The sequence below is a fragment of the Homo sapiens genome, chromosome 11, assembly GCF_000001405.40.
Source record: "Homo sapiens chromosome 11, GRCh38.p14 Primary Assembly".
Classification (NCBI taxonomy): Eukaryota; Metazoa; Chordata; class Mammalia; order Primates; family Hominidae; genus Homo; species Homo sapiens.
The window spans coordinates 932,636-959,181 of record NC_000011.10 but is presented as its reverse complement, the minus strand read 5'-3'; the positions used below and the strand labels follow the sequence as shown (position 1 = coordinate 959,181).

General features: G+C 47.8%; 1 protein-coding gene and 1 pseudogene across 10 annotated transcripts in view, besides 9 other annotated features; both read right to left on the bottom strand.

Annotated features, from left to right (window-relative positions):
* AP2A2 (adaptor related protein complex 2 subunit alpha 2) overlaps positions 1-26,546 on the bottom strand; it is an 86,371-nt gene that overhangs the window by 53,059 nt on the left and 6,766 nt on the right. The window contains exons 2-3 of one of the 10 annotated variants that reach the window (XM_047426480.1): positions 12,219-12,957; positions 2,200-2,396 (exon numbers count right to left, since the gene is read on the bottom strand). The exons of 5 other annotated variants lie outside the window; for them this stretch is intronic. The gene's annotated coding sequence lies outside the window, so the exon portion shown is untranslated. Of the gene's footprint in view, positions 1-2,199; positions 2,397-12,218; positions 12,958-15,170; positions 15,194-18,279; positions 18,448-25,584; positions 25,658-26,546 lie in introns of those variants that run through there. 4 more of the 10 variants (XM_047426479.1, XM_011519929.2, XM_047426482.1 and 1 more) reach the window with 4 other exon arrangements.
* Positions 3,158-3,819: an enhancer, noted in NCBI's record as "H3K4me1 hESC enhancer chr11:955363-956024 (GRCh37/hg19 assembly coordinates)". NCBI's record gives its function as "activates a minimal SCP1, AML or CMV promoter by ChIP-STARR-seq in primed H9 embryonic stem cells {active_cell/tissue: H9 hESC(primed)}" and the evidence as "EXISTENCE:reporter gene assay evidence [ECO:0000049][PMID:30033119]".
* Positions 3,820-4,483: an enhancer, noted in NCBI's record as "H3K4me1 hESC enhancer chr11:954699-955362 (GRCh37/hg19 assembly coordinates)". NCBI's record gives its function as "activates a minimal SCP1, AML or CMV promoter by ChIP-STARR-seq in naive H9 embryonic stem cells {active_cell/tissue: H9 hESC(naive)}" and the evidence as "EXISTENCE:reporter gene assay evidence [ECO:0000049][PMID:30033119]".
* Positions 4,591-5,199: an enhancer, noted in NCBI's record as "H3K27ac-H3K4me1 hESC enhancer chr11:953983-954591 (GRCh37/hg19 assembly coordinates)". NCBI's record gives its function as "activates a minimal SCP1, AML or CMV promoter by ChIP-STARR-seq in naive H9 embryonic stem cells {active_cell/tissue: H9 hESC(naive)}" and the evidence as "EXISTENCE:reporter gene assay evidence [ECO:0000049][PMID:30033119]".
* On the bottom strand, positions 10,658-10,761 carry RNU6-1025P (RNA, U6 small nuclear 1025, pseudogene; annotated as a pseudogene).
* Positions 12,819-13,113: a silencer, noted in NCBI's record as "tiled region #620; HepG2 Repressive DNase unmatched - State 14:Gen5', and K562 Repressive non-DNase unmatched - State 15:Elon". NCBI's record gives its function as "represses a minimal TATA promoter and a strong SV40 promoter by Sharpr-MPRA in HepG2 and K562 cells {active_cell/tissue: HepG2 | K562}" and the evidence as "EXISTENCE:reporter gene assay evidence [ECO:0000049][PMID:27701403]".
* Positions 13,488-14,161: an enhancer, noted in NCBI's record as "OCT4-NANOG-H3K27ac-H3K4me1 hESC enhancer chr11:945021-945694 (GRCh37/hg19 assembly coordinates)". NCBI's record gives its function as "activates a minimal SCP1, AML or CMV promoter by ChIP-STARR-seq in primed H9 embryonic stem cells {active_cell/tissue: H9 hESC(primed)}" and the evidence as "EXISTENCE:reporter gene assay evidence [ECO:0000049][PMID:30033119]".
* Positions 14,162-14,836: an enhancer, noted in NCBI's record as "OCT4-NANOG-H3K27ac-H3K4me1 hESC enhancer chr11:944346-945020 (GRCh37/hg19 assembly coordinates)". NCBI's record gives its function as "activates a minimal SCP1, AML or CMV promoter by ChIP-STARR-seq in naive and primed H9 embryonic stem cells {active_cell/tissue: H9 hESC(naive and primed)}" and the evidence as "EXISTENCE:reporter gene assay evidence [ECO:0000049][PMID:30033119]".
* Positions 15,511-16,185: an enhancer, noted in NCBI's record as "H3K27ac-H3K4me1 hESC enhancer chr11:942997-943671 (GRCh37/hg19 assembly coordinates)". NCBI's record gives its function as "activates a minimal SCP1, AML or CMV promoter by ChIP-STARR-seq in primed H9 embryonic stem cells {active_cell/tissue: H9 hESC(primed)}" and the evidence as "EXISTENCE:reporter gene assay evidence [ECO:0000049][PMID:30033119]".
* Positions 17,663-18,573: an enhancer, noted in NCBI's record as "NANOG-H3K27ac-H3K4me1 hESC enhancer chr11:940609-941519 (GRCh37/hg19 assembly coordinates)". NCBI's record gives its function as "activates a minimal SCP1, AML or CMV promoter by ChIP-STARR-seq in naive H9 embryonic stem cells {active_cell/tissue: H9 hESC(naive)}" and the evidence as "EXISTENCE:reporter gene assay evidence [ECO:0000049][PMID:30033119]".
* Positions 20,481-21,393: an enhancer, noted in NCBI's record as "H3K27ac-H3K4me1 hESC enhancer chr11:937789-938701 (GRCh37/hg19 assembly coordinates)". NCBI's record gives its function as "activates a minimal SCP1, AML or CMV promoter by ChIP-STARR-seq in primed H9 embryonic stem cells {active_cell/tissue: H9 hESC(primed)}" and the evidence as "EXISTENCE:reporter gene assay evidence [ECO:0000049][PMID:30033119]".

Sequence of the window (26,546 nt, the reverse complement as noted above, 5' to 3'; positions counted from 1 at the left end):
GGGCCAGCCGCTGCGCACCCAGGGGGTGCTCCACAGCACCATTTCTAACTCTACCTCTTTACCAAGCTCAGAACTCAAATATCTTGCTGGATGTTTGCCATGATAAATCGTCATCCGCTAATAACACGGAGGTTTACTCCTAAAATCAACTTCCACTGCCAAAAGCACACAGTTTTACTACTATAGGCTTTCAATTTTCTTTTATAAATTCACCTCCACAGTTTCTTCCTCGATCAACTGCAGTCGCAAAACAGATGCAGCCTCTGCAACACGCATCCTTCAAGACTCAGCTCAGATGTGCCCGTTGAAATCAGCCTGCCTCCCCTGCCGTATGGACTGAATGTTTCTGTCCCCTCAAAATTCGCATGCTGAAGCCCTAACCCCAATGTCATAGTATCTGAAGATGGAACCTTTGGAAGGTGGCTGGGTTTAGATGGGGTCATGAGGTGGGCCCTCATGATGGGATTAGCACTCCTACAAGAGAAGTCCTCAGCAAATATGGTTAGGTACTAATATCATTAATAATATTAGGAGTGCTCCCACCAACAGCCCCAAAGGCTAGCTTCTGTCCAAAGCAGGAAAGACTGATCTATTCAGTCTATCTGTTGATAGACATTACAACCTATCTGTTGTCAAATCTAGTCATTTAAAATAGTCTTTCTTTTTGGCTTATCCATCCCCAATGGCAATCAAAATACCTGAACTGACACATTTCAATTTCATGTGTCTCATTTGAAAGCAATGCCCAGGATCTGTAATTCCTCATGGTCATAAAATGATGGAATGTCAGGGCTACAGGTCCCTTAGTCTGCTCCGGCTGCCATGACAAAACACCCCAGACGGGGCGGCTGAAACACTTCATCTTCTCACAGGCCTGCAGGCTGGAAGCCTGTGAGCAACACACCAGCAGGGTGGTTTCTGGTGAGGGCTCTCTTCCTGGCTTGCAGACAGCCACCTTCTGTGTGCTCACGTGGCCTTTCTTTGACGCATGCTTATGAAGCGAGCACGCTCTCTCTTCCTCTTACAAGGCCACCAATCCTACAGGATTAGGACCCCACCTCTATGACTTCATTTAACCTTAAATGCCTCCTGAAAGCCCTGTCTCCAAATCCAGTCACACTGGGGTTGGGGCTTCAGCATATGAACTGGGGTGGAGCCACGGAGGCAACTCGGTCCACAGCTAGAGGGAACCTTAAAGACGGACTGATGCATTTGTTCCGTAAATATCCACTGAGCACCTACAACTGTCCACACATGGTGCTGGGCACCAAGGCACAAGGATGAGCAAAAACAGACATGGTCTCTGTTACCCTCACGGAAGACACAGTCTGGCAGAAGACTGTTACTGACCAAGCAGTCGCACACCTATTTAATCACCATGTGCTGTGTAAGGAAAGCAGATGAAGCTAGGAGGGATTACGATACAGGGAGCAGGTCTGTGCTGCAGGGCAAACAGTTGTTGGTAGGAACATGAGGGCTTTCCTACAAAATCTGACAAGTCCACTTGCATAATATCCAATTGTGATATTATACATACATACTGGTTTTCATCTACAGTTCCTGGCTCAAAACTCTCACAGCTCTTGTTATTTTTTCCCCAAGGCAGGCCATAAGACTAACAAGGGACTCTAACCACCCCCAGCCTTTCTGTCGTGGAGCTGGCCATAAATTCTCTGACCTACCTTGTCTGACTGTGGGTCACAAGACCCACATTTCTGAAGGGGCCCTGCCCCACACCCCGGGGGAAGGAACGCCGCACAGATAGGCCGGGAAGAATCTGCACAGACAGGCCCTGCTGGGTTTAGATCACACCCTTTTGGTCCAGTCCCATTTGTACACAGCTGTCAATCATGCCTATCCAATGAAGTCTGCACAAAAGGCCCAGGAGGACAGGGTTTGGGGAACGTCCAGATAACTGAACACATGGGGATCCCTGGAGGGACATGGAGCGGCCATGGCCCGGTACCATGCCCTACGCATCACGTCACCTGCACCCTTCATACTAGCTTTTATGATCAAATAAATGTGTTTCCCTGAGTTCTGTGAGCCTCTCTAGCAAACTAATTGAATCCAAAGAGGGGGTCGTGAGATGTCCATTCACAGTCTGTCATGCACAAGCACAGGTCACAACCTGAGGCTTGAGGCTAACATGAGAAGTAGGGGGTAGCCCTGGGACTCCCCTGCAGGATCTGACACTACCTCCAGGTAGACGGTGTCAGAATCAAGCTGGAGGACACCCCGCTGGTGCCTGCTGCAGAACTGATAGCTTGTTTGCCGATGGGGAGAAACCCCCACATATTCTGGGGTCACAGAAGTCTTCTGTGTTGTAGTGGGACAGCAGAGGAATGTTAGCTTCAAGTCTTTTTTTCAGCTCACACCCATGAAATGTGGGAATTCTCCATTGTACAAAAGAGGGAAAACGCACATTAGATGTGTGACAATCAAACTTTCAGTACACGCTAAATCTATTGCTAAAGGGACCTCGCTCAACAAACACTTGCATGTATGTCACAAGCCAGGCAAGGGAGAGAGATGAGACCACGTGTAGTTTAACTCTACCTGGACCAGCTGTGAAAACTGAGGCTTAAAGAGTACAAGTGATTTTAATAGGGATACACATGTTTAACAAGCACTGTCAAAATACAATTATTCATCACACAGGGTAAGGTGAGTTGTGTGCAAAAACAACTTTGTGTACATTTAAGTCACTTTTTATTCTATTTTTTAAAAAATTAAAAATATGGCCAGGCATGGTGGTGCCTCATCAGAGGCAGGTGGGTCGCCTGAGGTCAGGAGTTGGAGACCAGCCTAGCCAACGTGGCGAAACCCCGTCTCTACTAAAAATACAAAAATTAGCCAGGCGTGGTGGCGCATGCCTGTAATCCCAGCTACTTGGGAGGCTGAGACAGACGAATCACTTGAACCCAGGAGGCAGAGGCTGCAGTGAGGCGAGATGACAGAGCAAGATTCCATCCCCAGAAAGAAAAAAAAAGAAAAAAGAAAAAATAGAGACAAGTTCTCACTACGGTATTTGGGCTGGTCTCGATCTCCTGAGCTCAAGCAATCCTCTCACCTTGGCCTCCTAAAGTGCTGGGATTACAGGTGTGAGCCACTGCACCTGGCCCTAAGTCACTTTTTTAAAGCAATAATAAAGCTGACTATTTAAAAAACCTTCTCAAGTGAGTCTTTGGTTTAAGGATCTCCAGCTGAAGTAAAAGGCCTCTGCAGCAACCCATCCACATCAGAACACGACACAAGCGGCCCCGCCAGGCCTGGTGTGCACAGATCAGAGGACAAAGAGCTCACCCCTGCCCTACGCAGTCACAGGGCCGAACTCCACCACTGCTGCTTCCAAAACTGATCTTGCCTCCCCCACAGGACAAGCTCCCTCCTCCAGAATATCTTTTGTCTTTTACTACACATTTGCTAATAAATAAGGTTGAATGTTTCCTGAACCGAACAAACACTCCTTTGAGCCAGTCCTACCCTAGAAAACTTCAGATGGACAGGTGGTCAGAACAGGAAAATCAAGTGCCTATGTGGCGGCTCCCCGACCCAAGCACTGTCCCAGGTGCTGGGAACACAACAGCTTCTGCCCTCAGGGGACCTTTAACAAAACACAGACACACCCAAACCTCCTGTCCCAGTCAGTCTCTCTTCCCAGCCCTGAAAGCTGCTCACAGCAGTGACCCCTGGGCAGGCTGCCCAGCGTCTCAGCATCCCCACTCCTCTCTGTATGATGGCTGACCAGCGGACGGCTCCACAAGAAAGCAGGACAGCAGGTACAGGAGGATGCTGGCAGCCTGATGCCCCCCAGGATGGCAGGTTTTTTGGACTTGGCTGAAAGAGTCACGAAAACAGTGTCTTGGGAGCTTCTGCCACACAAAGCCTGCAGGCAGCTTCACACAGCTGGGACTGCGCATGGGTGAGGCACTCTGCACTGGGTGCGGTGTGCCAGTGTGCGTGTGCCTATGTGTGCATGCCACTGTGTGTGTACATGTGTGCTTCTCACAAAGGTGTACACAGATCTGTGCTATTAAGTCTGCAACAGGGGACCTTGCGCTCTCTCCCTGGTTTGTGCCCTCTACTTTACCCACCCAAACACCAGGGAAAGAAACCACTCTGAGGGGGAACTTATGTTGTCCAGAATCAACAGAGCTCAGATCTAAAGCAGAAATACTAAAAACCTGGGGGCAGGAGAAAGAGGAAATACTACTACATGAGCTAAATCAACTTTCCTAAACGGAATCTACAGATTTTATATAAGGTTGTGAAACCACAAACTAAAACAAACAGCACATAATGTAGAGTTATAGAGGTAACCACCAGGAGAAACAGGCAGTTAACCCCCCTCCTCTGTGGGACAGAAACAGAGACAAGTTCCAGCTTCCCATCCACAGCTTGCTTTTAATTGCCCAATTTTCAACACACACACACACAAATACACACACACACACACCAAATACACACATGCACACATTTACAAACACACATGAATACACATTTATACAAACACAAATACACATATATACACACAAATACACGTACAAGCACACATAAACCAAATACACACAAATACACAAATGTACACGCCACACACAAATATACATATACACACATTTACAAACACACATAAATACAAATACACAGATACACAGAAATACACACGTACACAAACACAAATACAACATATATACACAAATATAAACACAAATACAACATATATACACATATACATACATACACATAAACACAAATACATACACACACACAAATACACACATGTACACACACATGCATAAATACAAATATACGCATACACACACACTTTAAAACGAGGGCAGGCCAGCCCCTGAGGAGGGGGAGAAGCATGGAAGGTGATGACAAGAGTGAACTTTGGGGCCAGCACGTGAGGTGGGAATCCAAGTGAGGTGGGAATCCAAGTGCAGCCTTTGACTCATTCTGCTGTGCCTCTGAGCTCCAGCTCCCTCAAAAGGAAAGCCACCAACGGCCGTACAACCTCACGGCATCATGTCTGTGCAAGAGAAGGTAGAGAGGCCAGGCACAGTGACTCACGTCTGCACTTTGGGAGGCTGAGGCGGGCGGATCACCTGAGGTCAGGAGTTCAAGACCAGCCTGGCCAGCATGGTGAAACCTCGTCTCTACTAAAAATACAAAAATTAGCCAGGCATGGTGGCAGGCGCCTGCAATCCCAGCTACTCAGGAAGTTGAGGCAGAAGAATCGCTTGAACCCAGGAGGCGGAGGTTGCAGTGAGCCGAGATCGCGCCATTGCACTACAGCCTGGGCAACAGAGCAAGACTCCATCTCAAAAAAAAAAAAAAAGAGAGAAGGTAGAGAGAAGAGTAGTGTCACGTCTCGGCCAGACCTGAGGACAGGAGAGCCTAAGCAGCCCCAGTATCCACAGAGGGCTGAGCATGATGCAAGAACCAGGGATGGAGTGACCTGGCCCAGCGCCCCTACTGAGCAGAGACGACGCAAAAGCAGGAAAAAGGGGAGGTGCAGGGACAGCAGGCAGACGGAGGCAGACGGAGGCAGACGGAGCCAGGACGGAGCCAGGGACTTCCAACTGCAGCTGCCAGGCAGGCCACTGTGTGAAGACAATGGGGGGGGGGGGCTCTTACGGTAGAAAAGCCACCCAGACCATGCCTCCTCTGACAGTTCAGGAAAACTAATTTCACATAAAAATACGCATTCAGGCTAGGCGCAGTGGCTCACGCCTATAATCCCAGCACTTTGGGAGACTGAGGCAGGTGGATCACTTGAAGTCAGGAGTTTGAGACCAGCCTGGGCAACATGGTGAAATCCTGTCTCTAGTAAAAACACAAAAATTAGCTGGGCATGGTGGCGTGCGCCTGTAATCCCAGCTACTGGGGAAGCTGAAGTGGAAGAATTGCCTGAACCCGAGAGGCAGAGGTTGCAGTGAGCCGAGATCACACCACTGCACTCCAGACTGGGCGACTGGGTGACAGAGAGAGAGGCTGTCTCAAAAACAAGAAAGACAATCCAGCACGACCATGGCTGAGATGACGGATGATGACCTGCAGGCAAGACTGACACATTCAAGTCAACTACCATGTCCCAAATTTACCAAAAACGCTCTAGTAGAAGCTGCATGATCAACGCAGCACCCCTGCAGTCATGACGGACGCAGGTAACAATCTGAGCCCTCCAGTGCCTGTCAGGGGCTCTCCTGTAAAGGAGCAGAGCGTGCTCCTGGCCAGGCACCAATTCGTGCCACTGACACTGCACTGATCTCCATAAGGCAGAGGGCCTCACAGGAGGACTTCAACCACCCCACCGTGCCGGGAACAGATCTAGCAAAAAAATCTTATCTTTTTAGATAAATTAGCTTGAGGAGAAGCGGGGAGGAGCTGAATTCTGAAAGGGTAAAGCATGAGCAAGAGTAACTGACCCACAGCAACAAGCCCAGCCACACAGAGTCTGATCTTTGTTAAAGAGTAACTGACCCACAGCAACAAGCCCAGCCCCACACACAGTCTGATCTTTGTTAAAGAGACGCTGGCCACAGTCATCCTGCACTATTCCTGTCTGAAATGCAGCCAGCCCATCAGCACTAAGGGTACTGTACTTGCATCAGGGAATTCTCGCAGTGAACTTAGGAGCTCTGGTGGCTAATGAGTAACCTGGACATGCCATAGCTACTGGCAAAAGCAAGTTACAATTTGCATTCCATGAAGTAGCAAAGAACACACTCTATAGGGGCAGGCTTGGATAAAAGCTCTTGAATTTTTACAATTATTGTCCCTGGTCATTCTTCAGGAACAGCATGCTGGTTAATGATTTCTTGTTTACAGGCTGAACTAATCAACAGAGAGGATTAGTATTCTGGGAACAGCCCAAGTTCCACAAAAAATAGTAAAGGAGCCTATGACAGATGATTATAAAATACCAAAGTACCAAAATCTTCTGTCCTTGCAATGTGCAGCAAAACTTGGTCTACAGAGTTTTAGTCTGTATATAAAGTGATTTCAGACTGGGCAGTGGCTCACGCCTATAATCCCAGCACCTTGGGAGGCTGAAGTGGGAGGGCTGTTTTGAGTCCAGGAGCTCGAGACCAGCCTAGGCAACATAGGGAGACCTGGTCTCCATAAATAATTTTTTAAAAAATTAGGTGTGGTGGTGCATGCCTGTGGTCCCAGCTACTAGGGAGGCTGAGGTGGGGGGAATCACCTGAGCCCAGGAAGTCAACACTCCAGTGAGCCAGGACAGACATCGCTGTACTCCAGCCTAGGCAACAAGGTGAGACTCTGTCTCAAAGAAATAAAGTGATTCCGCCGAGTAACCCAAAAGCCCAAAATTGACCAAGCCCAAGAATTTTTGAAGGAAGCTATAATTGCTAAAATTACTATTAAGGTGGTTAGCACAGCAGTCAGCCAAGCAAACTCTGAAATCAGGCCTGGACTGGAATGTCACTCCATGTTTTACTAGCTACGTGACCCTGGGCTATCAACTTAACCGCAACCTGCCTCGGTTTCTCTTCTTCAAATGGGTGTGCCATCAATGAAAGAGCTGTGATGAGAAGTGTGAAATAAGGAGCAAAGCACTGGTCCAGCCACGAGAAGCTACTGTGCCCATCACCAGGGATAAACTCACACGTTCTTTTTTTTTTTTTGAGACGGAGTCTCGCCCTGTCACCCAGGCTGGAGTGTGGTGGCACGATCTCGGCTCACTGCAACCTCCACCTCCCAGGTTCAAGCAATTCTCCTGCCTCAGCCTCCCAAGTAGCTGGAATTACAGGCGCCTGCCACTACGCCCAGCTAATTTTTGTATTTTTAGTAGAGGTGGGGTTTCACCATATTGGTCAGGCTGGTCTCAAACTCCTGACCTCAGGTGATCCACCCACCTCGGCCTCCCAAAGTGCTGGAATTACAGCTGGGAGTGCCTGGCCTCATCTTTTTTATTACAGCCATCTGGGTAAGTGTGATGCAGTATCTCATTGTGATTTTGATATGCATTTTTCTGATAGCTTTTATATGCTTATTGAACATTCGTAAATCTATTTGGAAGAAATATATATTTTAATACTTCATCAATTTTTTTTTTTTTTGAGATGCAGTCTCACTCTGTCACCCAGGCTGGAGTACAGTGACATGACCTCGGCTCACTGCAACATCCGCTTCCCAGGTTCAAGTGATTCTTGTGCCTCAGCCTCCCAAGAAGCTGGGATTACAGGTGCACACCACCACACCCAGTTAATTTTTGTATTTTAGTACAGACGGGGTTTCACCATGTTGGCTAGGCTGGTCTTGAACTCCTGACCTCGGGTGATCCACCTACCTCAGCCTCCCAAAATGCTGGGATTACAGGTATGGCCACCACACCCGCAGCCCCTAACACTTCATCAATTTTTTAATTTAGTTGTCTTCATGAAGTTTTTTATATATTCTAAATAACGAGCCCTTTATCAGGTACACGGTTTTCAAATATTTTCTCTCATTCTCAGGTTGCCATTTCACCTTCTAAATAGTATTTTGTAGCACACGTTATGAAGTCCAGATTAACTTTTTTTTTGTCATTTGCACATTTGTTGTCACCTAGGAAATCATATTCCAGACCGGGCACAGTGGCTCACACCTGTAATCCCAGCACTTTGGGAAGCCGAGGCAAGCGAATGGCGTTTGGCCAACACGGCAAAACCCTATCTCTACAAAAAAACACAAAAATTAGCTGGGCATGGTGGTGCAGGCCTGTGGCCCCAGCTACTCAGGAGGCTGAGGCAGAAGAATCTCTTGAACCTGGGAGGTGGAGATTGCAGTGAAACAAGATCACGCCACTGCACTCCAGCCTGGTGACAGAGCGAAACTCTGTCAAAAAAAAAAAAAAAAAACCATATTCCAAAGTCACAGAAACTTACTCCTGTTTTTTTGGTAGGAGTCTCATAGTTTTAGCTCTTACAGTTGGGTTTATGATCCATGGAGTTATTTCTTGTGCATAGTGTAAGGTAGGAGTCCATTTACATACTTTTACATGGAGATTCAGTCATCCCAGCACCATTTGTTTAAGACTATTCTTTTCCCCCACCATTGAATTATCTTGGCACTCCTGCTGAAAATCAATTCACCACAAATGTAAAGGTTTACTTCTGTACTCTCAATATTATTATCTCAGTATCTACGTATCTGTCCTTATACCAGTATTATACTATCTTAATCATTTGTGTATTAAGTTTTGGAATCAGCATGTGAATCCTCCAATCCTGTTCTTTTTTGCATCTATGGAGATGACCAGGCATTTTTTCATCCTTTATGGTATTAATATGAAGTATTACATGGATTGATTTTCAGATGTTAAGCCAACCTTGCATTCCTGGGACAATTCTCACTCGAATCTGGTGTATAAACCTGTTTTTTTTTTTTTCTTTTTTGAGACAGAGTCTCTCTCTGTCACCCAGGCTGGAGTGCAGTGGCGTGATCTCGGCTCACTGCCAACACCGCCTCCCGGGTTCTAGCACTTCTCCTGCCTCAGCCTCCTGAGTAGCTGGGACTATAGGCACATGCCACCACACCCAGCTAATTTTTGTATTTTTAGTAGAGATGGGGTTTCACCATGTTGGCCAGGCTGGTCTCCATCTCCTGACTTCGTGATCCACCCGCCTCGGCCTCCGAAAGTGCTGGGATTACAGGTGTGAGCCACCACTCCCGGCCTGTATAATCCTTTTTATACGTTGTTGCTGGATTCAACTGGCTAGCATTTGGTTGAAGATTCTTGTTTCTATATTCATGATAATGGCCTGTAATTTTCCTTTCTTGTCATGTCTTTGTCTAGTTTTGGTATCAGCATAATACTGGCCTTATAGAATGAGTTAAGTATGCCCTCCTACTTTTCCAAAGAGTTTGTAAAGGACTGGTATTAATTCTTTTCTTGAGACAGAGTCTCTCTCTGTCGCCCAGGCTGGAGTGCAGTGACATGATCTCGGCTCACTGCAACCTCCGCCTCTCGGTTTCAAGCGATTCTCCTGCCTCAGCCTCCCAAGTGGCTGGGACTAAAGGTGCGTGCCACCACACTCATCCAATTTTTGCATTTTTAGTAGAGATGTTGGCCAGGCTGGTCTTGAACTCCTGACCTCAAATGATCACCCACCTCAGCCTCCCAAAGTGCTGGGATTACAGGCATGAGCCACTGCACCCGGCCAGGACTGGTATTAATTCTTTAAGTGTTTGGTAGAACTCAAATAATGACAAGCTCAGTAAGTGTGACTTTTCTAGAGAAGCCACCTGGCCCAGAGCTTATTCTTGTGACAAGATCTTGTTTTTCAGTTTTTGGGTTTTCCTTTGAGATGGAGTTTCGCTCGTTGCCCAGGTTTGAATGCAATGGTGCGATCTTGGCTCACTGCAACCTCTACCTCCTGGGTTCAAGAGATTCTCCTGCCTCAGCCTCCCAAGTAGCTGGGATTACCAGTGTGCACCACCACACTTGGGTAATTTTTATATTTTTTGTAGAGACGGGGTTTCACCAAATTGGCCAGACTGGTCTAGAACTCCTGACCTCAAGTGATCCGAGTGCCTCAGACTCCCAAAGTGCTGGGATTACAGGCATGAGCCACTGCACCCGGCCGTGACAAGTTTTTAAATTATTAATTCAATCTATTTACTTATTATAAGTCTATTTAGGTTTTCTTTTATGGAATGCTTCACAAATTTGTGTGTCATTCTCACACAAGGGCCATGCTAATCTCTGTATTGTTCCAATTTTAGTATATGTGTTGCCAAAGTGAGCAACTATTCAGATTTTCTATTTCTTCTTGAGTTAGCTTCGGTCACGACTTTCTAGGAATTTGTCCATTTCAACTAAGTTATCTAATATTTTGTTACACAATTATTCATGGAATTCTCTTATAATCCTTTTTATTTCTGTAAGGTGAATAATAATCTCCCCTCTCATTCCTGCTTTTAGCAATCTGAGTCTTCTTTTTATCTCAGTCAGTCTCACTAAGTTTGCCAATTTTGATGATCTTTTCAAATAACCAATCTTTGCTCTCATCTTTGCTATTTTCTTCCTTCTTGTTTTAGGTTTTGTTCGTGCTTTTTCTGGTGTCTTAAGGTGAAACACAGGTTAATGATTTGAGATCTTTTTTAATGTAGGTATTTACAGTTATAAACTTCCCCCTCAGCCCTGCTCTCACTGCAGTGTATAATTTTTGGAATGCTGTGTTTTTATTTGCATTTATCTCCAAGTTTTTTTAAGAGACAATGTCTTGCTTTGTCACCCAGGCTGAAGTGCAGGGGCGTGATCATAGTTCATTGCACCTCAAACTCCCAGGCTAAACAATCCTCCTGTCTCAGTCTCCCAAGTAACTGGGACTATAAGGGCACATCTCTGGGCCTGGCTAATTTTTTTTTGTAGAGACGGGGGTCTCACTTTTGTTGCCCAGGCTCTCGAACTCCTGGCTTTAAGAAACCCTCCCACCTTGGTCTCCCAAAAGCGCTGGGATTACAGGCGGCGTGAGCCACTACATCTGGCCTGTCTCCAAGTACGCCACCATGCCCAACTAATTTTTGTATTTTTAGTAGAGATGGGGTTTTGCCATGTTGACCAGGCTGGTCTCGAACTCCCAACCTCAAGTGATCCGCCCACCTCGGCCTCCCAAAGCGCTGGGATTAGAGGTGTGAGCCACCGCGCCCAGCCAACTAGCACCTTAACTTAAAACAATCCAGTTTTGATTAACACAAACCTAATTCTAATGGTACGGAGAAATGTTGCTCCTATAAAGCTCTTCCCTCACTTCTCTTTTGTGCTGTAACTGTCAAATCACACCTTTATATGTTATAAGCCTATCAAAACAGCTTTATAATTATTACTTTGTACAGTTGTCTTTTAAGGCAGATAGGGGCCAAGCGTAATGGCTCACGCCTGCAATCTCAGCTCTTTGGGAAGCCAAGGCAGGTGGATTACCTGAGGTCAGGAGTTCGAGACCAGCCTGACCAACATGGCAAAACCCTGTCTCTACTAAAAATACAAAAATTAGCTGGGCCTGGTGGCGGGAGTCTGTAATCCCAGCTACTCAAAAGGCTAAGGCAGGAGAATCACCTGAGTCCGGGAGGTGGGGGCTGCAGTGAGCCGAGATCGGCGCCACCGCACTCTAGCCTTGGCGACAGAGGGAGACTCCGTCTCAAAAAAAAAAAAAAAAAGAAAAGAAAAAAAGACAGGAGACTAAAAGTTACAAAAGTGCACTTACATTGTCTTTTAACTTGACATATGTAGCTGTCTTCACCGTTGTTCTTTTATTTCTTCACGTATCCTACCACCTAGTGTCCTTTCATTCCAGCCTGAGACATTCCTTTCAGTATGTATTATAAGGGAGGTTGGCTAAAACAACAAATGTCCTCTGTTTATTGTTTACCTGGAAATATCTTAATTTCTTTTTTTTTGAGACAGGATCTTGCTCTGTTCACCCAGGCTGGAGTGCAGTGGCACAATCTTGGCTCACTGCAACCTCCGCCTCCCAGGTTCAAGCAATTCTCGTGACTCAGCCTCCTGAGTAGCTAAATTACAGGCGTTCGCCAACACGCCTGGCTAATTTTTGTATTTTTAGTAGAGACGGGGTTTCACCATGTTGGCCAGACTGGTCTCGAACTCCCGACCTCAGATGATCCACCCACCTTGGCCTCCCAAAGTGCTGGGATTACAGGCATGAGCCACCACACCCAGCCAATTCCTCTATTTTCAAAGGACAGTTTTACTGGACACAGAATTCTCAACTGACAGTCTCTCTTTCAGAAACAGGGTTTTCACACTGAGCTAGCTCATACGATGGCAAGCTCAGTAAGTGGGACAGGTCCGAGAGTGACATGCTCTGCAGCCGGGACTTGCTGAGGAGCTCCAGCCTTCATGTGTCCCCTCCAGTAGCTGCTAGGCTGCTGGCTTTCCCAGCTACCATGGTTATAAGGCAGCTGGTTTCCATGGTTACCACGGAGCTGGGGAGAAGAGAATGGGAGGAGGTTGAGTTAGAGGTGCCACAGTTGTTCACAGATAAAAGCTCCTCAGAGTGTCGCAACCGTTGGTTAATTTCGCGTTCTGACAGTTGATTTTGACCATTTTTGCCAGTGTTTTCACTGCTTTTATGGAGGATTGGATTACAGAGGCCTCACTCCACCATTCCGGCTAAGTGGCATTTCTGATGCAGACTCAAAGCTGTCACGAATGAAGAATGTTTAGCATGCATGCCTCTGTTGATTCTGTTTTCTAAACCTCCACATGTCACTCCTACCTTTCCACTCCAGATCCTCGCCGTCTCCTCTGGACCAAAGCAATCCATCTTTTCCTAACTGGCTTTCCTGCCTCTAAGCCTCACCTAAAACCCATCCTCTATATCCAAAATGACCATTCTTTTCCTTTTCTGTTCTTATTTTTTGTAGAGATAAGGTCTCACTAAGTTGCCCACACTGGTCTTGAACTCCTGAACTCAAGAGATCCTCCAGTTTTGGCCTCCCAAAGTGCTGGGATTACAGACCTCAGCCACCATGCCTGGCCTCAAAATGACTATTCTACCAGCAAAACAGAAAGTGAGGCTGGATGCATTAGCTCATGCCTGTAATCCCAGCACTTTGAGAGGCCGAGGCGGGCGGATCACCTGAGGTCAGGCATTCAAGACCAGCCTGCCCAATGTGGTGAAACCCCATCTCTACTAAAAATACAAAAATTAGCCAGGCGTGGTGGCAGCACTCATAATCCCAGCTACTCGAGAGGCTGAGGCAGGAGAATCGCTTGAACCCAGGAGGTGGAGGTTGCAGTGAGCTGAGATCATACCACTGCACTCCAGCCTGGGTGACGAGAGAGATTCCATCTCAAAAAAATTTTTAAAAATTGAGTGTCATTCCCCTGCTTAAAATACTTAAACAGCCCACATCCTAGACAGGAGGTCCTACCATCTGGTTTTGGCTGCCTCTCCCACCTTGGTCTCCAGCCACATTCCCGTGCCCCACTAGGCCCTACCCACGCTAGGAGTCACCCTCAATGTATCACATGTGTCCTGCTGCTGCTCATGCCTCTCTGCAGCGTGGCACACGGGACTGCCCACCCTTTCCAGACCATCCCCCACATCCCATCAGCCTAGCAAGACCTGAGCCAAGCATCACCCCTGCATTCCATGCCTGACCTCTCCGAAGCTGTTCACCCCTCACACCATTCACCACTCTGCATTACAAAGGCCTGAGCTACTCAAGGATACTCAGTGTTTAGCATTCTAGTAAGAGCCACAGTCTTTATAAAGCTCTAGGAAAGGCCCTACTCCACCTGTCCCCCACCTTCATTCCCCCCAACCTAACCCCCTACTGCCTTTCCACCCAGGATTGCTGTCCTAAAGCCACATGCGCCTCCTGCTGTTTCTTCCGTGCAGCAGTCATCCTCCCCGACAAAGGCCTCTGCACTTACCACTCCCTCTGCCAAGACGCCCTCCCCACTAACTTCTACGTGGCCACTGCCTCACTAGCTCCAGGTCCTTGCTCAACTGCTGCCTTCACAGAAGGGCCGGCCCTGATCATTCTACTTAAAATTGAACACCTATACCCTCATTTACCCAATCACCTTCCCCCCTTAATATCTCTCTGTTGTGTTTATCATCTTCTAACATCTCACCAAATTTCGTGTTTATTTTCGATCTCTATCCACTAGAATGATATTTCTCTGTTGTGTTTATCATCTTCTAACATCCCACTAAACTATGTTTTTCTTTTTGATCTCTGTCCACTAGAATGCAAGCTCCATGTGAACACGGAGTTGTTTTTTCCCTGCCATAGTCCCAGAATCCTGGGAAGTGCCTGGCATTGTAGCAGGCTCTCAATAAATACTTGGTAAGAATAAATGCTCTGCAGACAGCAGGTACCCAGCAATAGCACCACATCTCTGAGTGCTCATAATGCACCAAAAACTGTCCCAAGAGCTTCTGAGCAACACAGCTGGAAAACAACGAGCATTTCCTGAGCGACGGGATCACCAGAGGTGCCATGTCAGTCTCTACAGCATCCTCTCCTTCGGGGCCCCCATCACATCCATCCTGTCGACCTGTCCGCTTTTCCTCCAAACGAGTGCTCTATTCCGGCCATCTCCGCTGCCACCTGCATCTCCAGTCAGACTCCCTTACTCGCGCCATCTCCACTGCCACCTGCATCTCCGGTCGGGACTCTCTTACTCTCGCCATCTCCACTGCCACCTGCATCTCCGGTCGGACTCTCCTATTCTCGCCATCTCCGCTGCCACCTGCGTCTCCGGTCGGGACTCTCTTACTCTCGCCATCTCCGCTGCCACCTGCATCTCCAGTTGGGACTCTCTTACTCTTGCCATCTCCGCTGCCACCTGCATCTCCGGTCGGACTCTCCTATTCTCGCCATCTCCGCTGCCACCTGCGTCTCCGGTCGGGACTCTCTTACTCTTGCCATCTCCGCTGCCACCTGCATCTCCGGTCGGGACTCTCCTATTCTCGCCATCTCCGCTGCCACCTGCATCTCCGGTCGGACTCTCCTATTCTCGCCATCTCCGCTGCCACCTGCATCTCCAGTTGGGACTCTTCGCAGCTTTCACCTTCCACTCACCTCCAACCTACTTTCCACAGAGAAGCTGGCATTAAGGGAGGAGACCACCCCTCACATTGTCTTATTCCCAATTTCTGCCTCCAAAGAAAGAAGAAGCAAAAACTAAAAGGCAGAAATGAAATCCACAAGCAGACAGCCCGGTGCCACACCCTGGGCCTCGTAGTTAAAGATCGACCCCTGACCTAATCAGTTATGTTATCTATAGATTCCAGACATTGTATAGAAAAGCACTGTGAAAATCCCTGTCCCATCCTGTTCCGTTCTAATTACAGGTGCATGCAGCCCCCAGTCACATACCCCCTGCTTGCTCAATCGATCACGACCCTCTCACGTGGACCCTCTTAGAGTTGTGAGCCCTGAAGAGGGACAGGAATTGCTCATTCGGGGAGCTCGGCTGTTGAAGATTTGACTCTTGCCAAAGCTCCCGGCCGAATAAAGCCCTTCTTTAACTCGGTGTCTGAGGGGTTTTGTCTGTGGCTTGTCCTGCTACAGTGTAATATTGTCATATAATTACATCAGACCTGTTACTCACTCGCTTTCCTTTGGCAGCTTCCTACAAGGCACCCAGGATAAAATCAGACTCATGCCGGAGCCTTCAAGGCCCAGCACGTTCTGGCCTCCCCCAGCAATCCGGCTTATGCCAGCTCCTCTCCTCGCTCACTGAGTTCCAACAGTACAGCCTCTCAGGTCCTGAAACACAACTGGCTCTCTACCACCTCAAGCCCTTCTCCCCTCCAGGCTGGGACAAGGCTGGTCCCAGGCAGCTTCAGGACCCAGATGAAATGTCACTTCCGCAGAGAGGTCTTTCAGCAACACTCGACCTAAGGGAGTCCCCTTTTATCATCCACCATGATAAACTGCCTTGGTGTCACACAATATGCCCACATAACAAACCTGCACATTTACCCCCAGAATCTAAAATAAAGGCTGAAATTATTTTTTAAAGTCATCAAAAAATACATGAGAAAAAACATTTCAGTTCAGGGTTTAAACAAATCTCTCTGGAAAATTCAAGTATCCAAACTCCCCTGGACTCACCCATCATTACCAATAACAGAATCTACTGACTAAACTACTGAGATAAATTTCCATTTACTATATTCTATTACCAGCAAGAAACAAAGGTCAGTCGGTCAAAGGCCCCATGCCTTTCCTTTGATTTCTAGGTTTCAGAGCACTACAGACTAATCCCATACGTAGGTTTGCAAAGTACATACCACACCGTTCATTCCCTTGAATGGGGAACAAGGTCCTTCCTACTTGCTTACTTCAGACAAGGAATAAATGCCGAGTCACCATTCTATTTAAAATTCCACTGAGAAATACATGCCACACAAGCTCTCAGAACCACCTGCCCAAATTTGATTTACTAAAAGGTCAGGTATTGCTAAGCGCGGTGGCTCACGCCTGTAATCCCAGCACTTTGGGAAGCCGAGGCGGGCAGATCACGAGGTCAGGAGATCGAGACCATCCTGGCTAACAGGGTGAAACCCCCCTCTCTACTAAAAATACAAAAAATTAGCCGGGCATGGTGGTGGGCGCCTGTAGTCCCAGCTACTCAGGAGGCTGAGGCAGGAGAATGGAGTGAACCTGGGAGGCGGAGGTTGCAGTGAGCCAAGATCACGCTACTGCACTCCAGCCTGGGTGACAGAGCGAGACTCCATCTCAAATATAAATAGATAAAAAATAAAAGGTCAGGTATTACTACTTCATTTAAGCATGAGAGGCCGGGCATGGTGGTTCATGCTTGTAATCCCACCACTTTGGGAGGCCAAGGCCACCAGATCACTTGAGATCAGGAGTTCAACACCAGCCTAGCCACATGGCAAAACCCCATGTCTACTAAAAATACAAAAATTAGCCGGGCGTGGTGGTGCATGCCTGTAGTCCCAGCTACTTGGGAGGCTGAGGTGGGAGAATCGCTTGAACCTGGGAGTCAGAGATTGCAGTGAGCCGAGATCACGCCACTGCACTCCAGCCTGGGCAACAGAGTGAGACTCCATCTCAAAAAAAAAAAAGAATAAGAAAGCAGCCAGCCACAGTGGCTCATGCCTGTAACCCCAGCACTTTGGGAGGCTGAGACAAGAGAATCACTTGAGGCCAGGAGTTCAGGACCAGCCTGGGCAACATAGTAAGACCCCATCTCTAAAAAAAATAAAAATTACATAAAGTCAAATTATTCCTCCCCAAAGCCTTCTCTCAGGCAGTGATAAATCAAGAATATATCAGAAGTCATAAATGGGGGCCGGGGCATGTGTGTAGAAACAATCAGTCATCAAGGACAATAGAGTTATCACAATCCTGGACATTGCCAAGCAATGGTCAAGCAGTAACTGACTCAGCCAAGGAGAGCAAGCTGCACCCCAGCTACCTGCAGGAGGGAAGACAAATTAAGAAGCAAACCGTCTCGAACAGAGAACCCGAAAAGGCTTGGGAATGAAAGGAACCTCAGGAGACCGATGTCAGGAGGATGGGCTTCAAGTCTATACAGAGAGCAGCAGATCCCTGCCATGAGACCCTGCAGCCAGGCAGGCCCCTCGGCCCCCATCTCAGAAAAAGACAAGCTGGAAAAGTGAGAACACAAAAGCTCCGAGCTCCACGGAGTGTGGAGCAAGGGGCCTCGTGAGAGCAGCACAGCGCAGTGACAGACTCCCCGAGGGGTGAGATGCCCCATCCCAGAATGATGGCAGCCGGGCTCACAACACCCACCTGCTCACCAAGCAAGAGAAGAGAGTCGAGAGTCCTCTGGAAGAACTGAACCAGCATTCAGGCTCCTCCTCAGACCTCACCCTGCAGCGAAGGCCCCTGCCAAAGCCCTTCAGGTTGGCAGGCACTGGTACACATGGGTGGACAGCCACCAGCCACCAAGCACAAAGTGAGAGCTCAGAACCTCACAGCATGGGCCAGAGACCAAACAAACCTACACAAAAGGCATTCAAAGCAATGAGACAATGCACAGAAGGAAACGCCAAAGGAAACACCTTTACACAGACGAGATAAAATACAGCTTAAAGAAACAGATGCCACCAAAAAAGGGGCACTTGGGTCATGAGAAAGCTCTCAAGCTATAAAACTGACAGCAGAAATTAAAAATGCAAAACAAGGGCTAGAGGACAAACTTGAGAGTCGTGGAAACAGAACGCGAAAGGCAGAAAGGCAGGAAAATCTACACCAGGAGGTATAATTTCAACTACCATAGAGAAATACAGAGAAAAGAGAAAGTGAAATGAAACAGAAGAGGTTAGCAACAAAATACAACAAGAATATTTTCCACTAGAGCCCAAAAGACATAAGTTTCCAGATTGAATAAGGCCACCAAATGCCACACTTGGGCACATCGTCTTAAAATTTCAGACACGGGCCGGCGCAGTGGCTCACGGCTGTAATCCCAGCACTTTGGGAGGCCAAGGCGGGTGGATCACTTAAGGTCAGGAGTTCAAGACCAGCCTGGCCAACATGGCGAAACCCCGTCTCTACAAAAAACACAAAAATTAACCAGACAGGTGGCACACACCTGTAGTTCCAGCTACTCTGGAGGCTGAGGCAGGAGAATCGCTTGAACCCGGCAGAAGAGGTTACAGTGAGCCGAGATCGCGCCACTGCACTACAGCCTGGGTGACAGAGTGAAACTCTGTCTCAAAAAAAAAAAAAAAAAAAAAAGTAAGCAAAACAAAAGGCAATCATTAACTTTCAAAAAAATTAAAAACTGACCCAAAAGTTGAACTGTTATTCTCGGCTGAGAACAGTACTTTCAGACATGAAATAGACATTAATCAGGTAAAATATTACACATATACAAGTACAGGAGAAGAGAAACTTGAGCAAGAGTTAAAAGACTCATCTTCTAGAGTAAGGCATCAATAAACAGGCCAGGCACGGTGGCTCACGCCTGTAATCCCAGCACTTTGGGAGGCCGAGGAGGGCAGATCAGTTGAGGTCAGGGGTTCAAAACCAGCCTGGTCAACATGGTGAAACTCCGTCTCTAATAAAAATACAAAAAATTAGCCGGGAGTGTGGCAGGCTCCTGTAAGCCCAGCTACTCGGGAGGCTGAGGCAGGAGAATCACTTGAACCTGAGAGGCAGAGGTTGCAGTGAGCCGAGATCCCACCACTGTACTCCAGCCTGGGCAACAGAGCGAAACCCCGTCTCAAAAAAAGTCAATAAGTAATGACTAAATGGGGGAAAGAACACCCATAAATAGTAGGAACACACAATTTAGACTTAAAAAGCAATCATTCTTAAAGTAAATTTTTAAGAAGAAACAGCTATAAAATGAAAATAATTCACTCAGGTTTAGAAATGTGGGCAAGGCAGGGGCAATGTTTTATAATTAACTTCTTAAACCTTTTTTTTTTTTTTTTTTTGAGACAGAGTCTTGCTGTCACCAGGCTGGAGTGCAATGGTGCGATCTCGGCTCACTGCAACCTCCACCTCCCGGGTTCGAGTGATTCTGCTGCCTCAGCCTCCCAAGTAGCTGGGATTACAGGTGCCCAGCACCACACTCAGGGAATTTTTTTATATTTTTAGTAGAGACAGGGTTTCATATTGGCCAGGCTGGTCTCAAACTCCTGACCTCGTGATCCACCCGCCTCGGCCTCCCAAAGTGCTAGGATTACAGGCGTGAGCCACCGCACCTGGCCTTAAACTACATTCTTTAACTTTTTTAATCTTTTAAAACATTTAAGTAAGGACAAGCCTAGACAAGAAAGTCACAAGAATAAACGCTATTAGGAAGACCTGCCCAGTTACTTCCTAATAACTAAAAATAAACATATCAACATTTTCATAGAACAGACTAGAAAGCACAGAAGGAGTCTGTAAAAACATACAAACATTTGGGCCGGGCACAGCGGCTCATGCCTGTAATCCCAGCATTTCAGGAGGCCAAGGCGGGCAGATGACGAGGTCAGGAGATGGAGACCATCCTGGTTAACACGGTGAAACCCCGTCTCTACTAAAAATACCAAAAATTAGCCAGGCGTGGTGGCGGGCACCTGTAGTCCCAGCTACTCGAGAGGCTGAGGCAGGAGAATGGCGTGAACCCGGGAGGCAGAGCTTGCAGTGAGCCAAGATCGCGCCACTGCACTCCAGCCTGGGGGACAGAGTGAGACTCTGTCTCAAAAAAAAAAAAAAACATACAAACATTTGAGAATACAGTTGACGATGCATTGCAAGGAGAAAAAAGCATTACCTCATAAATGTTCTAGAACATATTTGGTAATCGATGCGAGGAATGATGGAGACCCATCTCACAAGAAAATAAACTACAAGGGGTTAACGGGATAAACATAATTTCAAAAGCTTTAAAACCTCAGTATCGTATAGGGGTTTGGTGGGGACTTCAGGCGATGGGAGAAGCCACAGGGAGGGTCGGTGTAGCCAAGGCAGCATCTGTAAGGAAAGGCTGGCCTTCGTGCGGCACCAGCCGGCACACAGGCGACCCAGGTGAGAGGCCCCAACAGAGGGTCTGTCACCATCATAAAGCAACACCCCAGTGACTCATCAAATGCAAAGGGGCACAGAGAAGTCACAGGAAAGACAAACCAATAAGCATGCGTTTTGTTTCTTGTTTTTAAATGAGACTGCTCCCTCCAGGCAGAAGCATAACCTGGCTGCCTGGTGCTCCAGGCAATCAGAGGCAGAAAGGTGGCAGGCAGGCATCTCAGGGGCAAACCGACACAGTTCAAGCTCCAGCTCCACCTCTCGGGAGCTCCGGGACTTAGGCTAACTGACAACCTCTCCACGCCACAGTTTCCTTATCTGTAAATAAGTATAGACAGTCTCCAATTTGTGATGGTGAAGCTGAACGATTTTTTGACTTTACAATGGCATGAAAGCAACACGCACTCAGTAGAAATCGTACATCAAGTGCCCAATCACCTTGTTTTCCACTTTCATACAGTATTCAATAAATTACATGAGATATTCAATCCTTTTTTATACATAGGGTTTGTGTTAGATGGTTTTGCCCAACTGTAGGCTAATGTGAATTTGGTGGTGGTGTTTTGAGACAGGGTCTCATCCTGTCGCCCAGGCTGCGCAATGGCGCAAACGTGGCTCGCTGCAGCCTCAACCTCCTAGGCTCAAGAGATCCTCCCACCTCAGCCTCCCAAAGTGCTGGAATTACAGGCATGAACCACCTTGCCTGGCCCCAAAAGTGAACTTTTAAAAGATACTGTTCAAAGTGTGCTTTGAGAAGATGGCAGAGATCTGACATGCGCTCACGGCACTGAAGGCCTCTTTCTGGAGACGGACAATGGTGTTGCGCTGTGGTCAGTGGTAAATAACAATAGGCTGGGCACGGTGGCGCACACCTGTAATCCCAGCACTTTGGGAGGCCGAAGCGGGCGGATCACCTAAGGTCGGGAGTTCGAGACCAGCCTGGCCAATATAGTGAAACCCCGTCTCTACTCAAGATCCAAAAATTAGGCAGGCATAGTGGCGGGCGCCTGTAATCCCAGCTACTTCAGAGGCTGAGGCAGGAGAATCACTTGAACCCAGAGGCAGAGGTTGCAGTGAGCTGAGATCGCGCCACTGCACTCCAGCCTGGGCGACAGAGACTCCATCTCAATAAATAAACAAATATAAATACATTAAATAGAAATAAAGGAAACTCCCTGGAGCAGAGGGAAGAGTCTCAGGAAAGAGGAGAGAAGAGCCCCTGCCGCAGCACAGGCCCAGCAGCCGGAGGAAAAACCACATCAAACAACGGCCTCAAGAAGCATTCAGAGAAGACACTGCCTCGAGTGAGGTAAAACTAGCCCCAGACTACAGGCTGCGGTGGTGCTGCCTTGTAGGAATCACACTGTTCCCAAGGTACTTAGCCTCCTCCCAGAACCAAGCTCAAGAATATTAAAAGAAACACAAAAATATTCTGCTCTAAGAAGGTGAAATTCACAACGTCAAGCATCTAATAATAAACCAGGCCAGGCGTGGTGGCTCACACCTGTAATTCTAGCACTTTGGGAGGCTGAAGCAGGTGGATCACTCAAGCCTAGGAGTTCGTTATCAGCCTGGGCTACAAAGCAAGACCCCATTTCTACAAAAAAGTTTTTTAAAAATTAGCCAGGTGTGGCTGTGGTCCCAGCCACTCAAGAAGCTGAGGCAAGAGGATCACCTGAGCCCAGGAAGTCAAGGCTGAAGTAAGCTATGATTGCAACATTGCACTCCAGCCTGGGCAATGCGAATGAGACCCTGTCAATAAATAACTAATTTATTTATTTATTTAAAAAATTAGCCAGGTGTGGTGGCATGTCCTGTAGGCCCAGCTACTCAAGAGGCTGAGATGGGAGGACTGCTTGAGTCCAGGAGGTCGAAGCTGCAGTGAGCTGTGATCACACCACTGCACTCCAGCCTGGGCGACAGCAAGACCCTATATCTTTAAAAAAAAAAAAAAAAAAAAAAAGGCCAGGCGCAGTGGTTCACGCCTGTAATCCTAGCACTTTGGGAGGCCGAGGCAGGCAGATCACGAGGTCAGGAGATAGAGACCATCCTGGCTAACACGGTGAAACCCCATCTCTACTAAAAATAAAAAAAAAAAAAATTAGGCAGGCGTGGTGGTGGGCGCCTGTAGTCCCAGCTACTCGGGAGGCTGAGGCAGAAGAATGGCATGAACCCAGGAGGCAGAGCTTGCAGTGAGCCGAGATAGTGCCATTGCACTCCAACCTGGGAGACAGAGCAAGACTCCGCCTGGGGGAAAAAAAAAAAAAAAGGAATAGGCCGGGCGCAGTGGCTCACGCCTGTAATTCCCAGCACTTTGGGAGGCCAAGGCGGGTGGATCACGAGGTCGGGAGTTCAAGACCAGCCTGGCCAAGATGGTGAAACTCCGTCTCTACTAAAAATACAAAAAATTAGCCAGGTGCCTGCAATCCCAGCTACTCAGGACGCTGAGACAGAGAATTGTTTGAACCCGGGAGGCGAAGGTTGCAGTAAGCCGAGATCACACCACTGCACTCTAGCCTGGGCAACACAGCGAGACTCTATCTCAAAAAAAAAAAAAAAAAAAAAACTGGCCGGGCACAGTGGCTCACACTTGTAATCTCAACACTTTGGGGGCCCAAGGCAGGCGCATCACTTGAGGTCAGGAGTTCAAGACCAGCCTGGCCAACACGGCGAAACTCTGTCTCTACTAAAAATTCAAAACCGCCCAGGCACAGTGGCTCATGCCTGTAATCCCAGCACTTTGAGAGGCCGAGGTGGGTGGATTGCTTGAGGTCAGGAGTTTGAGAATAGCCTGGCCAAAATGGTGAAACCCCAGCTGGGCGCGGTGGCTCACACCTGTAATCCCAGCATTTTGGGAGGCCGAGGCTAGCGGATCACAAGGTCAAGAGATCAAGACCATTCTGGTCAACATGGTGAAAGTCCGTCTCTACTAAAAAAAATACAAAAATTAGCCGGGCATGGTGGTGCGCGCATCTGTAGTCCAAGCTGCTCGGGAGGCTGAGGCAGGAGAATCACTTGAACCTGGGAGGCAGAGGTTGCAGTGAGCAGAGATCGCACCACTGCACTCTAGCCTGGCAACAGAGGAAGACTCAGTCTCAAAAAAAAAAAAATGGTGAAACCCCATCTCTACCAAAAATACAAAAATTAGCCGGGCATGGTGGTGCGCTCCTGTAATCCCAGCTACTCCGGAGGCTGAGGCAGGAGAATCGCTTGAACCCAGGAGACAGAGGCTGCGGTTAACCAAGATTGCGCCACTGCACTCCAGCCTGGGTGAGAGAATGAGACTCCATCTCCAAAAAAAAAAAAGAAAAGAAAAGAAACACGTACTTGCTATTTCAGCTACATTACATGAAACACAAAGGCGGTCCACAGAAAAAGCAAAACATAAATCCTAATACAGTGCCGCCTGCCCTAAGGAGCTCAAAGTTCTTTAGATATGCTAAATAACTAATCCTCATTACACCCTTGTGCTGCCATCAGAGGGATTTTAAAGGTAAGAAAAACACCCCACAACGCAAAAACAAAAGCCAGGCACCCCATGTTGGCTGTTGGTCTCTACACTTCTAAGCAAACCCGTAGACAGACACCAAAGCTTAGGGTGGGTGAGAAGAAAGGTAAATGGGGAGTATCCTGAAGCCAAGCACAGAGATGAACACAAAACCATCACAACTCGGAGTCTGAATTTCAGGCAAAGATGAAGACTCCAGGCTCTCGACAGGGCTACAATTTGAAAAGGTGGGAAAGGGCTGGGCGCAGTGGCTCACACCTATAAATCCCAGCACTCTGGGAGGCTGATGGGGGAGGATCACTTGAGCCAAGGAGTTCAAGACCATCCTGGGCAACATAGTGAGACCCTGTCTCTAAATTTTAAATATAAATATAAAAAATTTAAAAGTGGGAAACAAAGGAGAGTAGAATCAGGATCTGACCCAAACCCCCGGCTAGAAGTGTTATTCCTAAGAACGCACCCAGCAGGAGGTCTGCCACTCGACCTGGAGTTTCGACCTGGAGTTTCCTGAGGTATCGGGGTGGGGGCGCTGAGGGAGCTACATGGGGCAGAAAGAACCTAGCATGGGAGTCAGGACTTCCCTGGCCTCAGGGACACACAGCAGCTGTGGGCACAGCACTCCTCCTAAAATCCCGGAGCACCCACCAGCCCCTCAGCCCACCCCTGGCACCCTGTGCTCCTGCCACCTTCCCAGCCTGCTGAAGCCTTGATACCCCCAACCATTCCCACACTCCAATCACCAGGTAAGGGGAAGTGCAGGCTCCAAAAGGCAACAAACGTTTAAAATCGAGAATCAACTGAACAGAAGATACAAGTTCCCCTCTGCCAACAATGTTTCAGGAAAAAGCGTGCAAAGCTGGCAGAAAGTCATGTCTGAATACAGAAGCATGGTTCCAAGCTCCCTGTGTCTCTGGGGTCATCCCCGCTCCTGAGTGCCCACGAGTCACTGGAACTCGCCTCTCCCACCCTGGTGCTGGGCATCTCACTGCCTCACACTCTTCTTGGTCCTCTTCCCAATTCAAGTCTCCAGGGCGCTATTTAAAATAGGGCTGCTTCCTACTCACATGCTATTTCTTCTATGCGTCTTGGCCAGACCCTTACAACCCTGTCCCAAGCACAGAGCTCATCTTACCACACAGCTTCAGCCCCCACTTCTACACGGGAACACCCACCTCAACCTATCCCACCCACCCGGAAATTCTCTCGTGACAAAACTGCACATACTGCTTTTCAAGACGTTTCAACCAGCTCAGCTTTCAAGCTAAAGTCAGGAAGGTTCTGAAGAAGGAACATGCTGCCAGAATCAGCAAATGTGGTTTTATAATCTAAGTCTGGGACATCATGTGGCCTGGTAAAAACTGTTCATTTCTGGGGTTTTTTGTTTGTTTGTTTTTGAGACGGAGTCTTACTTTGTCGCCCTGGCTATAGTGCAGTGGCGCAATCTTGGCTTACTGCAACCTCCGCCTCCCAAATTCAAGTGATTCTCCTGCCTCAGCCTCCCAAGTACCTGGGATTACAGACACGTGCCACCACACCTGGCTAATTTTGTATTTTTAGTAGAGACATGTTTTTCCATGTTGGTCAGGCTGGTCTCGAACTCCCGACCTCAGGTGATCCACCTGGCTCGGACTCCCGAAGTGCTGGGATTACAGGCGTGAACCGCAGCGCCCGGCGTATTTGATTTTTTTAAGAGCCAAGGAAATGCCATTTAATCCTTCACTGACAGCCTTTCCAGGAACTCTTCTACTACAAAATCTTGACACAGATTGTTACCAAAAGTAACAGTTCATTTTAAGAGGAAAGAGAAGTAATAGTAAGTATCTGGCACAAAATATGTTCACCACCAGGACACTTCAACTTGTCATAAAAGAAAGTGATCCTGACCTTCAGAGGAGCCAGACGGAAAACACTGTGAAGAGAACCAGGGTGTCCCAGAAGCAGTGACCACCAACCTTGGCAAGAAAAATTCAACCCGAGCAAGGACTTCCTTCCTTCTCTCCATAGCCACCATGACACATTTCCTAAA